We start from the raw sequence: 14324 nt of genomic DNA on the forward strand, positions 1-14324 counted from the left end.
AGGTGTAAGGAAAGGATCCAGTTTCAGCTTTCTACATATGGCTAGCCAGCTTTCCCAGCACCATTTATTAAATAGGGAATCCTTTCCCCATTTCTTGTTTCTGTCAGGTTTGTCAAAGATCAGATAGTTAAAGATATGTGGCATTATTTCTGAGGGCTCTGTTCTGTTCCATTGGTCTATATCTCTGTTTTGGTACCAGTACCATGCTGTTTCAGTCACTGTAGCCTTGTAGCATAGTTTGAAGTCAGGTAGTGTGATGCCTCCAGCTTTGTTCTTTTGGCTTAGGATTGACTTGGCAATGCGGGCTCATTTTGGTTCCATATGAACTTTAAAGTAGTTTTTTCCAGTTCTGTGAAGAAAGTCATTGGTAGCTTGATGGGGATGGCATTGAATCTATAAATTACCTTGGGCAGTATGGCCATTTTCACAATATTGATTCTTCCTACCCATGAGCATGGAATGTTCTTCCATTTGTTGGTATCCTCTTTTATTTCATTGAGCAGTGGTTTGTAGTTCTCCTTGAAGAGGTCCTTCACATCCCTTGTAAGTTGGATTCCTAGGTATTTTATTCTCTTTGAAGCAATTGTGAATGGGAGTTCACTCATGATTTGGCTCTCTGTTTGTCTGTTATTGGTGTATAAGAATGCTTGTGATTTTTGTATATTGATTTTGTATCCTGAGACTTTGCTGAAGTTGCTTATCAGCTTAAGGAGATTTGGGGCTGAGACGATGGGGTTTTCTAGATATACAATCATGTCATCTGCAAACAGGGACAATTTGACTTCCTCTTTTCCTAATTGAATGCCCTTTATTTCCTTCTCCTGCCTAATTGCCCTGGCCAGAACTTCCAACACTATGTTGAATAGGAGTGGTGAGAGAGGGCATCCCTGTCTTGTGCCAGTTTTCAAAGGGAATGCTTTCAGTTTCTGCCCATTCAGTATATTGGCTGTGGGTTTGTCATAGATAGCTCTTATTCTTTTGAGATACGTCCCATCAATATCTAATTTATTGAGAGTTTTTAGCATGAAGGGTTGTTGAATTTTGTCAAAGGCCTTTTCTGCATCTATTGAGATAATCATGTGGTTTTTGTCTTTGGTTCTCTTTATATGCTGGATTACCTTTATTGATTTGCATATATTGAACCAGCCTTGCATCCCAGGGATGAAGCCCACTTGATCATGGTGGATAAGCTTTTTGATGTGCTGCTGGATTTGGTTTGCCAGTATTTTATTGAGGATTTTTGCATCAATGTTCATCAAGGATATTGGTCTAAAATTCTCTTTTTTGGTTGTGTCTCTGCCTGGCTTTGGTATCAGGATGATGCTGGACTCATAAAATGAGTTAGGGAGGATTCCCTCTTTTTCTATTGATTGGAATAGTTTCAGAAGGAATGGTACCAGTTCCTCCTTGTACCTCTGGTAGAATTCGGTTGTGAATCCATCTGGTCCTGGACTCTTTTTGTTTGGTAAGCTATTGATTATTGTCACAATTTCAGAGCCTGTTATTGGTCTATTCAGAGATTCAACTTCTTCCTGGTTTAGTCTTGGGAGGGTGTATGTATCCAGTAATTTATCCGTTTCTTCTAGATTTTCTAGTTTGTTTGCGTAGAGGTGTTTGTAGTATTCTCTGATGGTAGTTTGTATTTCTGTGGGATCAGTGGTGATATCCCCTTTATCATTTTTTATTGCATCTATTTGATTCTTCTCTCTTTTCTTCTTTATTAGTCTTGCTAGCGGTCTATCAATTTTGTTGATCTTTTCAAAAAACCAGCTCCTGGATTCATTGATATTTTGAAGGGTTTTTTGTGTCTCTATCTCCTTCAGTTCTGCTCTGATCTTAGTTATTCCTTGCCTTCTGCTAGCTTTTGAATGGGTTTGCTCTTGCTTCTCTAGTTCTTTTAATTGTGATGTTAGGGTGTCAATTGTAGACCTTTCCTGCTTTCTCTCGTGGGCATTTAGTGCTACAAATTTCCCTCTACACACTGCTTTGAATGTGTCCCAGAGATTCTGGTATGTTGTATCTTTTTTCTCATTGGTTTCAAAGAACATCTTTATTTCTGCCTTCATTTCATTATGTACCCAGTAGTCACTCAGGAGCGGGTTGTTCGGTTTCCATGTAGTTGAATGGTTTTGAGTGAGTTTCTTAATCCTGAGTTCTAGTTTGATTGCACTGTGGTCTGAGAGACAGTTTGCTATAATTTCTGTTCTTTTACATTTGCTGAGTGCTTTACTTCCAACTATGTGGTCAATTTTGGAATAGGTGTGGTGTGGTGCTGAAAAGAATGTATATTCTGTTGATTTGGGGTGGAGAGTTCTGTAGATGTCTATTAGGTCCGCTTGGTGCAGAGCTGAGTTCAATTCCTGGATATCCTTGTTAACTTTCTGTCTCATTGATCTGTCTAATGTTAACAGTGGGGTGTTAATGTCTCCCATTATTATTGTGTGGGAGTCTAAGTCTCTTTGTAGGTCTCTAAGGACTTGCTTTATGAATCTGGGTGCTCCTGTATTGGGTGCATATATATTTAGGAGAGTTAGCTCTTCTTGTTGAATTGATCCCTTTACCATTATGTAATGGCCTTCTTTGTCTCCTTTGATCTTTGTTGGTTTAAAGTCTGTTTTATCAGAGACTAGGATTGCAATCCCTGCCTTTTTTTGTTTTTCATTTGCTTGGTAGATCTTCCTCCATCCCTTTATTTTGAGCCTATGTGTGTCTTTGCACGTGAGATGCATCTCCTGAATACAGCATACTGATGGGTCTTGACTCTTTATCCAATTTGCCAGTCTGTGTCTTTTAATTGGAGCATTTAGCCCATTTACATTTAAGGTTCATATTGTTATGTGTGAATTTGATCCTGTCATGATGTTAGCTGGTTATTTTGCTCGTTAGTTGATGTAGTTTCTTCCTAGCCTCGATGGTCTTTACAATTTGGCATGTTTTTGCAGTGGCTGGTATCAGTTGTTCCTTTCCATGTTTAGTGCTTCCTTCAGGAGCTCTTGCAGGGCAGGACTGGTGGTGACAAAATCTCTCAGCATTTGCTTGTCTGTAAAGTATTTTATTTCTCCTTCACTTATGAAGCTTAGTTTGGCTGGATATGAAAGTCTAGGTTGAAAATTCTTTTCTTTAAGAATGTTGAATATTGGCCCCCACTGTCTTCTGGCTTGTAGAGTTTCTGCCGAGAGACCGACTGTTAGTCTGATGGGCTTCCCTTTGTGGGTAACCTGACCTTTCTCTCTGGCTGCCGTTAACATTTTTTCCTTCATTTCAACTTTGGTGAATCTGACAATTATGTGTCTTGGAGTTGCTCTTCTCAAGGAGTATCTTTGTGGCATTCTCTGTATTTCCTGAATCTGAATGTTGGCCTGCCTTGCTAGACTGGGGAAGTTCTCCTGGATAGTATCCTGCAGAGTGTTTTCCAACTTGGTTCCATTCTCCCTGTCACTTTCAGGTACACCAATCAGATGTAGATTTGGTCTTTTCACATAGTCCCATATTTCATGGAGGCTTTGTTCGTTTCTTTTTATTCTTTTTTCTCTAAACTTCTCTTCTCACTTCATTACATTCATTTGATCTTGAATCACTGATACCCTTTCTTCCAGTTGATCAAATCGGCTACTGAGTCTTGTGCATTCGTCACGTAGTTCTCGTGCCGTGGTTTTCAGCTCCATCAGGTCCTTTAAGGACTTCTCTGCATTGGTTATTCTAGTTAGCCATTCATCTAATCTTTTTTCAAGGTTTTTAACTTCCTTGCCATGGGTTCGAACTTCCTCCTTTAGCTCGGAGAAGTTTGATCGTCTGAAGCCTTCTTCTCTCAACTCATCAAACTCATTCTCCATCCAGCTTTGTTCCGTTGCTGGTGAGGAGCTGCATTCCTTTGGAGGAGGAGAGGCACTCTGATTTTTAGAATTTTCAGTTTTTCTGCTCTGTTTTTTCCCCATCTTTGTGGTTTTATTTACCTTTGGTCTTTGATGATGGTGATTTACAGATGGGGTTTTGGTGTGGATGTCCTTTCTGTTTGTTAGTTTTCCTTCTAACAGTCAGGACCGTCAGCTGCAGGTCTGTTGGAGTTTGCTGGAGGTCCACTCCAGACCCTGTTTGCCTGGGTATCAGCAGTGGAGGCTGCAGAACAGCGGATATTGGTGAACAGCAAATGTTGCTGCATGATCATTCCTCTGGAAGTTTTGTCTCAGAGGGTTACCCGGCCATGTGAGATGTCAGTCTGCCCCTACAAGGGGGTGCCTCCCTGTTAGGCTACTCGGGGGTCAGGGACCCACTTGAGGAGGCAGTCTGTCCGTTCTCAGATCTCAAGCTGCGTGCTGGGAGAACCACTACTCTCTTCAAAGCTGTTAGACAGGGACATTTAAGTCTGCAGAGGTTTCTGCTGCCTTTTGTTCAGCTATGCCCTGCCCCCAGAGGTGGAGTCTACAGAGGCAGACAGGCCTCCTTGAGCTGCGGTGGGCTCTACCCAGTTCGAGCTTCCCGGCCACTTTGTTTACCTACTCAAGCCTTGGCAATGGTGGGCGCCCCTCCCCCATCCTCGCTGCCACCTTGCAGTTTGATCTCAGACTGCTGTACTAGCAATGAGCGAGGCTCCATGGGCGTAGGACCCTCTGAGCCAGGCGCGGGATACAATCTCCTGGTGTGCCGTTTGCTAAGACCATTGGAAAAGCGCAGTATTAGGGTGGGAGTGACCCGATTTTCCAGGTGCCGTCTGTCACCCCTTTCTTTGAGTAGGAAAGGGAATTCCCTGACCCCTTGCGCTTCCCGGGTGAGGCGATGCCTCGCCCTGCTTTGCCTCAGGCTCAGTGCACCACACCCATTGTCCTGCACCCACTGTCCAACAATCCCCAGTGAGATGAACCCAGTACCTCAGTTGGAAATGCAGAAATCATTCGTCTTCTGCGTCGCACATGTTGGAAGCTGTAGACTGGAGCTGTTCCTATTCGGCCATCTTGGCTCCACCCCTCCTATGTATTTCTTAAATCTGTCCTCTTATCTCCATCCACCTTCCCTCTGCCTTTACTCAAGTGCTCCTTATCTTCTCTCCTCTCTTTATTGTCAGAGCCTCCTAAAAGGTCGGCCTGCTTCCAATCACCCTCCATTTCAGTTCTAAAGTGAAAATCTGATCCTGCTTAAAACTTTTAAGTGCCTCACTGTCACCATGAGACCCTTCACAATTCCTCCCTGCATGTGCACAGGCCCCTTCTGAGTGGACCCCTGGGTCATGCTCTCTAGCCTCACATCTCGCTGCTCTCCACCTTGCAGTCCAGGCTCCAGCAATGCAGACCCCCCTCCAGGACTGCTCTCCCAACCTCCCTGTCTTTATTTATGTTCCTTTCTCACAGGCTAGAATGCTGCCCAATCTCCTCCCCACCTGTGTTCTGCTTATCTGGCCAAGCCATTCCCAACCTTTCCATCTCAGAAAGCCTCCCCACACCCTGGGCTCTGAGAGGTGGCTCTTATTGTGTGCAGACAGCACCCTGGGCTTCATCCTAATATTCCCACTGCATAATAATAATACATGTACCTGTCTACTTCACTAGAGTGTGAGTTTCCTAAGGGAGCAATATGTCCCAGTTATCTTTTTATCTGCAATGAAAGACGGAGTGAATAAATGAATGGTCAATCAACTTGCGTTTAACAGATAATGAAACCGAGGCTAGACTCTACATATAACTCATTGGCAGGAAAGTTGGGACTCAAACTCTGATCATGTTCTATCAGAGAAGGATTAGAAGTGTCATCCTTGGATTTAAAAAACCTGGAATTAAAAAGTGCTAGCTAGAGTAATCAGACAAGAGAAAGAAATAAAGGCATCCAGATTGGAAAGAAAGAAGTCAAATTATCCTTGTTTGCAGATGATACGATCTTACATTTGGAAAAACCTATAGCCTCCACAAAAAAACTATTAGGACTGATAAGCAAATTCAGTAAAGTTACAAGATACAAAATCAACATACAAAAATCAGTAACATATAAAAATCGGTAACATTTCTATGTGCCAACAGTGAACAATCAGAAAAAGAAATCAAGAAAGTTATCCCTTTTACAATAGCTACCAATAAAATAAGATACCTAGGAATAAGTAGTAAGTAGATCACTACTTAACCAAAGTAGTGAAAGGGCTCTACAATGAAAACTATAAAACATTGATGAAGGAAATTGAAGCAGACACAAAGTAATGGAAAGATATTTCATGTTCATGATTGGAACAATCAATATTGTTAAAACGTCCATACTACCCAAAGCAATCTACAGATTCAATGCAATCCCTATCAAAATACCAAAGACATTCTTCATAGAAAGAGAAAAAATAATTCTAAAATTTATATGGAACCACAAAAGACCCAGAATAGCCAAAGCTATCCTGAGCAAAAAGAACAAAACTGTAGGAATCACATTACCTGATTTCAAATTATACTATAGAGTTATAGTAACCAAAACAGCACGGTACTAGCATAAAAACAGACACCTAGACAAAAGGAAGAGAATAGAGAACCCAAAAATAAATCCATACATCTACAGTGAACCCATTTTCAACAAAAGTACCAAGAACAGACACTGGAGAAAGGATAGTCTCTTCAATAAATGGTGCTGGGAAAACTGGATATCCATATGCAGAAGAATGAAACTAGACCCCTATCTCTCACCATATAGAAAAATCAAATCAAAATGGATTAAAGACTTAAGTCTAAGAACACAAACTATGCAACTACTAATAGAAAACATTGGGGAAACTCTCCAGGACATTGGACTAGGCAAAGACTTCTTGTGTAATATCCCACAAGCACAGGTAACCAAAGCAAAAATGGACAAATAGGATTCCATTGAGTTAAAAAGCTCCTGCACAGTAAAGAAAATGACCAACAAAGTGAAGAGATAAGCCATGGAATGGGAGAAAATATCTGCAAACTATCCATTTGACAAGGGACAAATAACCAGACTATATAAGGAACTCAAACAACTCTATGGGGAAAAAAAATCTAATAATCTGATTAAAAATGGGCAAAAGATCTGAATAGACATTTCTTAAAAGAAGACATATAAACGGCAAACAGGTATATGAAAAGGTGCTCAACATGATTGGCTATCAGAGAAATGCCAATCAAAACTGCAGTGAGATATCCTCTCACCCCAGTTAAAATGGCTTTTATCCAAAAGACAGGTAATAATGAATGCTGGCGAGGATGTGGAGAAAAGGGTACTTTTGTACAATGTTGGTGGGAATGTGAGTTAGTACAGCCACTATGGAGAACAGTTTGGAGGTTCCTCAGGAAACTAAAAACAAAACTACCACATGATCCAGTAATCCCACTGCTAAGTATATACCCAAAAGAAAGAATATCAGTATATCAAACATACACTTGCACTGCCATGTTTATTGCAGCACTATTCACAATAGCCAAGATTTGAAAACAACCTAAGTGTCCATCAACAGATGCATGGATAAAGAAAATGTGCTACATATACACAATGGAGTACTATTCAGTCACATAAAAGAATGAGATCAACCACGTGCAACAACATGGAGGGAACTGGAGGTCATTATATTAAGTGAAATAAGCCAAGCACAAAGACAAACATCACATGTTCTCACTTATTTGTAAGAGCTAAAAATTAAAACAATAGAACTCATAGAGGTAGAGAATAGAAGGATGGTTACTAGAGGCTGGAAAGGGTAGTGGGGTGAGGGTAGGGGGGAAGTGGGTATGGTTAATGGGTACACAAATATACTTAGATAGAATGAATAAGAGCTAGTATTTAATAACACAATAGGGTGACTACAGTTAATAATAATTTATTGTACATTTTTAAATAATCAAAAGAGTTTAATTGGAATGTTGGTAACACAAAGAAATGATAAATGCTTGAGGGCATAGATATCCCCATTACCCAGATATGATTACTATGCATTGTGTGCCTGTATCAAAATATCTCATGTACTCCATAAATATATATTTATACCTACTATATACCCATAAAAATAAAAAATAGAAATAAAAAAACAAACCCAGAATAGTATGTGTGTAATGAGAAAGACAATATTTGTTAACAGTGGTATTAATCACACACTGCAGAAGAAATGGCATGAATCAATTAAGGTTGTGATTTATATGCAGTAAGAACATGGAAAGCAGAATAATTAAATTTAAACTTTTCTCGTCAGCTTTTTGAAGAGTCTATTTCTAGAAATAGGTGCATTTACCTGAAATGAAAACTACCTAGGAGCGCCTGAACTTCAAACCCAGTTGGTTTCCAGCTGTCATATATATATTCCTCCTAGTGAGGAGGATATATGTATAAACATAAATATATGTCAAATTTAAATAACCACATACATTCCTTGTAAGGTAAATTCCTAAAGTTTGAATAAGAGTTACCTTAGCTCAGAGGTTCTCAAATTTCTGTGTACAAAAGAATCACCTGAATTCTTGTTAAAAATGGAGATTTTTGGGCCTCTGGGTTTCTAATTCAGCTGGGCTGTGATAGAGTCTGAGAAACTGAATTTTTAAGATTGTGGTGAAATTCACATTACATGAAATTAGCCATTTTAAAGTATCCAATTCAGTGACATTTAGAACATGGCACAATGTTGTGCAGCCATCACCTTGAAAATTGCATTTTTAACAAATGCTCCACTGCTGCAGGTGGTCCCCAGACAGCGCACTGAGAATAACTATGCTAAGATGATGGGTAGAGGTGGCAAGGAATGAATCATGGATTTCTCTCAGATTATAACAGAAATTTTTAAAAGTTAGCTTTATCAAACATCAAAATCTAAAAATTATGCCTTTGCCTTTACCGATCACCAAATATAATCCAACACCAGGAAGCTAGATTGTTTTCATGGTTTTCTGTACTAATGGACTCAACATTTATTGATTTGAATGCAACCAGTATTCTTATCCTTATAAAGAAGTACAGGGCTAAGTGAAGTAAAGTGAGAGAAGTGGGAAAAAATGAATCACTGCTCTGTGATTAGTTAGTCCAGGTCCTTGGGTTATAATTACATTATTATAGCACATTATTAATTTCAACTTCAGGAAATGAAATTGTCAATAAACACAGAAGTCTCTGGAGAAAGAAATGCAAATTAGGTTTCTCCTTATATTCAAACCCTCATCTAAATGTAAGTAAAACTAATTATTCTGGTAAGGCTTAATACAGGCTGGGCGTGGTGGCTCATGACTGTAATCCGAGCACTCTGAGAGGCTGAGGTGGGTGGATTGCCTGAGCTCAGGAGTTCGAGACCAGTCTGGCCAACATGGCGAAACCTTGTCTCTCCTAAAAATACAAAAATTAGCCAGGCATGGTGGTACACGCCTGTAATCCCAGCTATTTGGGAGGCTGAGGCAGGAGAATCACTTGAACCCGGGAGGCAGTGATTGCAGCAAGCCAAGATCATGCTACTGTACTCCAGCCTGAGTGACAGAGCGAGACTCCATCTCAAAAAAAACAAAACAAACAAAAAAAAGAGTTAATATAAATACACAATGGCTGCATTAAGATGTTGAGGTCAATCACTGTTTTCAGGGTTGCAGAATCGGTTTTCCTAGTCTTAACTCATGACCTAGTTACTCAAGAGTTGTCCCTAACCTTAACTCATTTTACTCCAGGTCAGATTCCTGTGCAGGTTCCTGGAATTTAGCAACTACAAAGATCAGCCATGGTGACAAGCATCCAGAATACAATGGTGTCTTCCTAACAGCCACTAGTGCTGCTTCTCTGGACCACTACCCTGCGAAAACAACAAACACAGAACAAGATGAAACCCCATCACAACATAAGAAACCAAGATGGACAGACAGCTTATAATGCCAGAATCTTGGAAACATGTCCAGAAACTACAAGACCAGAGAAGCTGGGCTGAGGAAATAAGAACTGGCCCACCCTGCTTTGCCTCATGACACAGAGCCCTTCACCTAGATTAAGAGAGGCAGGAAGACAGCCTGAGAAGGGATGGCACTAATTTAAGCAGAGGAGAATTATTACCTCCTCTACTTCTGTGTGCTTAGAGATCACAACTCCCAGAAGACAATAGGCAGGAAAAGAGAAGGTCTGGCAGTGCTGGCACACTGTATCCTGAGGAATGTCCCCAAAAATAAAGCCCTGAAAATGTGGAGATAGGAAGAGTCTGGGGTTCTTTTAGCCTGTCAAAGAATTAGAGTGCCAAAAAAGAAGAAACTGTAACTAGGTGGGTCAGGTTCAATAGAGTAGAACACTTAATGCCTATATGCCACCAGGAACTCTGTGAGGTGTATGCATCAACCTGACCTCAAGCTGCAGATTTGAGAAGGAATCAACCAGGAAACAGTGACCAGAGGCCACAAGACGGCCACACATTCTGTGTGTGCAGATCCTTCACCACTATACTCCAAGGAAGAGCATCTAGCTGGCAATGACTTCCTATAAAAATAAAGATTTTAGAAAAGTTCTATTCAGAAAGGTTCAGGAAAAGGATGGGTCCTGTGAACACAAGCGTAGAAATGCAGTACAATGGGATGAAATAAATGGAAAAGAAAATGAGATGCAAAAAGACAACTGATTAGGTTAATTGGGTTTTGACCTCAAGTAGATCTGGGTTTGAATTCTGGCTTTTTCAGTTGTTAGCTGTGTGGCCTTGGACTAATCGCTTAATTTCTTTAAGCGGCTCACACTGATAATCCTAGCATTTTGGGAGTCTGAGGTGGGAGGATCACTTGAGCCCAGGAGTTTGAGACCAGTCTGGGCAACATAGCAAGACCCTATCTTTATTTTTTTATTTTATTTTTTAAAAAGAAGTTTTGATTTCTTCATTGGTAAATGGGATCAAGAAACCATTTACTATCTCACAGGGTTACATTGAGGTTTAATGCTACTAAATACTATACTATACTATACTAACAAGCTTGGAAGAAAAGGGTACTGATTGAAACAGAGACAGCATTGCAAAAAAACTAAAAATACAATCAACAATAATCTATGTTGGAGATATTAAGGTGTAGGATTAAAATTGCAAAAGTGTCTAAACTGGTAATGCAGAAGAGCTCCAAAGCCTGAGAAAAAGGACAAAAAAAATGAAAAGGATGAGAGAAAAGCTGAATCAGGGATTCAACACAGTAATTAAAGATATTTTTGAGACATAAATCAAGTAGAACAAAAGCAATAAGCTAAAATAGGAACAAGGAAAGCCTCCTGGAGTGAATAATCATCTCAGCATGCAGTTTCAGGGCTCACTATATTTCAGGCAAAATTAATTTCAAAACATTTTAAAGACACACACCTAGATATAATTCAGCAAAAAATGTAAACTATGGAAATAATTTTTTAAATGCCTCCACAAAAGGCTTCAGGGACCAGCTAAACAGAAAGATCTTTCCAACATTCTATAAACTATTCCAGAGCATAGAAAAAGATGGCAAAACTAACCACATTATTTTATGAAGTGAGCACAACCAAGACAACAAAACCTGACACAAAAAAGAAACCACTAACTCTACTTCCACTTCTGAATTGATGCAAAAATCCTAAATGAAACCCTAGCAAACTGAATTCATCAGTATAATAAAAATACATAGGCACGGTCAAGTTGGATTTAACCTAACAAAGCAAAGATGATCCAAGATTAAGATATCTATTAATATAGTATCAAAATATAAGACAATCCTATTTAAGGTGATCCTCATTTTCTCAGTGAGAAGCTCCAAATGTTACTACTACCAGCTTGAATAAATATAGATGTTTATGAAATAGTCAACTATCTGTTTGAAAGTACAATTATACATACACATTTGCAATCATATAATAAAGGAAATATTTATCTTAAAATATTTTTCCATTCTCAAATATCATGAAAAAAATTGTATTCCACCTCTTCCCATGCACTCTTCTTTCTTTCTTTCTTTCTTTCTTTTGAAACAAGGTCTCGCTCTGTTACCCAGGCTGGAGTACAGTGGCGCAATCTCAGCTCACTGCAGCCTCAACCTCCTAGGCTCAAGCAATCCTCCAGCCTCAGCCCCTCCAGTAGCTTGGACTACAGGCACATGCCACCACACCTGGCTAATTTTTGTATTTTTTGTAGAGACAGGGTTTCACCATGTTTCCCAGGCTGGTGTTGAACTCCTGAACTCAAGTGACCTGCCTGCCTCGGCCTCCCAAAGTGCTGGGATCACAAGCGTCAGCCACCAGACCCAGCCTCCCATGCATTCTTGATGGGAATGTTATCACAAGAGCCACTTAGAGATATTTAATACAGTCTTCCAGAACTAGCATCTTCACTTCTGTCTGAGCACATTTAAGCCCACGTACAATACATTAATCCATATATACTTTCACTTTAGAAAATCATTTGTCCTGAAATTGTCTAATTGTGATCTCTAGAACAAAGACTTGTTTTATAAACTTATGACTTCCAATTCTTGCAACAATGAGGTCATTTCCCAGGAATAATTTTGCTACACCAGTGTTACATGTCCTAGCATCTTTTTTTTAATTGATTCTTTCTAGTGACTTCTCTAGGCATTCAAAACCAGCACTGATCAAAATGCTATGCCAGGATATTCAAAATAAATTAAATTGAGAATGACTCCCAGAATCTGAGAGATCTTGTTAAGGGCTGAAATATGTCTACCTTTTTTTTCTGAAGAGTAAGTTTTGGGAGAAAAACAAATTTTAACCTTTTTCACAGCAGGACATACTTAGAAAATTATAGTATTTGGATAGCACCCACACAAGTGAACAAGGCTGCTCAGGGTAGATGCTATTCTGGCCCTGCCCAGGCTCCTCAGTAGATCAATATTGCAGCACACCATATGGAAAGCTCTGCTATACCATGAGGTCCTATGAGAACACTGAGATCATCATCTGGGAGGCAGGATACTGTAGTGGAGCCAGGCTCTGCCTGGCTGCATGACCTGGGGCAAGTTACTTATGCCCTTTGTGCTTCAGTTCTCACATCTGCAAGATGGGACAATAATAGTTCCCAGAGAATCCATTATCATGAGGATTCACTGAACTAATTCGCATGAAACACTTAGAACTGCGTCCCACACATAGTAACTGCTCAACAAATGCCACGTTCAATAACTATGCCTGATTGAAAGCAAAACAAAACAACTCGTGAAAAAACAAAACCACAAAAGTATGAGTAGAATACCAAAATGAATTCCTCAACATGTCACCTCACCCCTACATGGTCATGTTACAGTAAAACTCACCAGATGACAAGCCCTGACCTGGCACTTGGAGTTTCCAATCAAATTGTTAGATTTCAGCCAAGAATCTCTAGGGATTTGAGAAAACCAAACCACTCTCATTAAAGACAGACTATAACAAAGATATAAACAAACTGAAAAAAAGAACTCAAAAGGAAGAGAGATAATGTTGGCAATATCAGCAAACTTTAAAAAAAGTATATACATACATATATATACACACACACATAATACACATTTAAGAGTAATGGTTAAGAGCACAGGCTTTGGGGAAACAAGTTATGACATCTATAAATTAAAAACAGAACTTCACAAAAAAGGAATTATCAGAAAACACAAAAGAGTTGCTGGTAATTAACAGACATGGCAGTTAAAATAAATTCAATAGGAAGCTTACAAAACAGTAAGATTTCCCAAATACTAGAAGAAAAATAAAGAAAACAGGAGAGGGAAAAAAAAAACTAGGAAAAATTAGAGGACTGACCTGGTGACCAAATAATAGGAGTTCTGTACAGAAAAAATAGGGGAAGGTGGGACGGAGGGCCACACAATTCCAAAATAAATCATATAAGAAAATTCCCCATAACAAAAGGATCTGCATTTTCAGATTGAAAGTGCTCTCTGAGTACTCAGCATGATGAATAAATGATGATCTACACCCAAAGCACATCACAGTGAAATTTCAGAAAACCGTCTCTAATGAGAGGGGGAAGTTGCACATGTAACAGATTAGGAAACAGAATGGCATCGCCATAATGAAAATGATTTTCAAAAGTAATCTCTGAGATTATGAGTTTTATTTCTCCCTTTTCTAATTTGTCTATAATAACATATATAACTTTTACTGTCAGAAAAAAAATATTTTTTTTGAGACACAGTCTCACTCTGTTGCCCAGACTGGAGTGCAGTGGCACAGTTTCGGCTCACTGCAACCTCTGCCTCCTGGATTCAAGCAGTTCTCCTGTCTCAGCCTCCCGAGTAGCTGGGACTACATGCACTCGCCACCATGCCCGGCTAATTTTTGCATTTTTAGTAGAGAAGAGGTTTCACCATATTGGTCAGGCTGGTCTCGAACTCCTGACCTCAGTTGATCCACCCACCTCGGTCTCCCAAAGTGCTGGGATTACAGGCGTG

The 14324-nt window shown here is 39.6% G+C and overlaps 1 protein-coding gene across 10 annotated transcripts in view; it reads right to left on the minus strand.

Moving 5' to 3' along the window:
- ARSB (arylsulfatase B) overlaps positions 1 to 14324 on the minus strand; it is a 208750-nt gene that overhangs the window by 163255 nt on the left and 31171 nt on the right. Inside the window, exon 5 of one of the 10 annotated variants that reach the window (XM_047417180.1) lies at positions 11736 to 11738. The exons of the other annotated variants lie outside the window; for them this stretch is intronic. Within the exon in view, the coding sequence (XP_047273136.1) occupies positions 11736 to 11738 (3 nt within the window). The remainder of the gene's footprint in view (positions 1 to 11735; positions 11739 to 14324) is intronic. 10 annotated transcript variants of the gene reach the window in all.

The sequence above is a fragment of the Homo sapiens genome, chromosome 5 (genome assembly GCF_000001405.40).
Source record: "Homo sapiens chromosome 5, GRCh38.p14 Primary Assembly".
Lineage (NCBI taxonomy): Eukaryota > Metazoa > Chordata > Mammalia > Primates > Hominidae > Homo > Homo sapiens.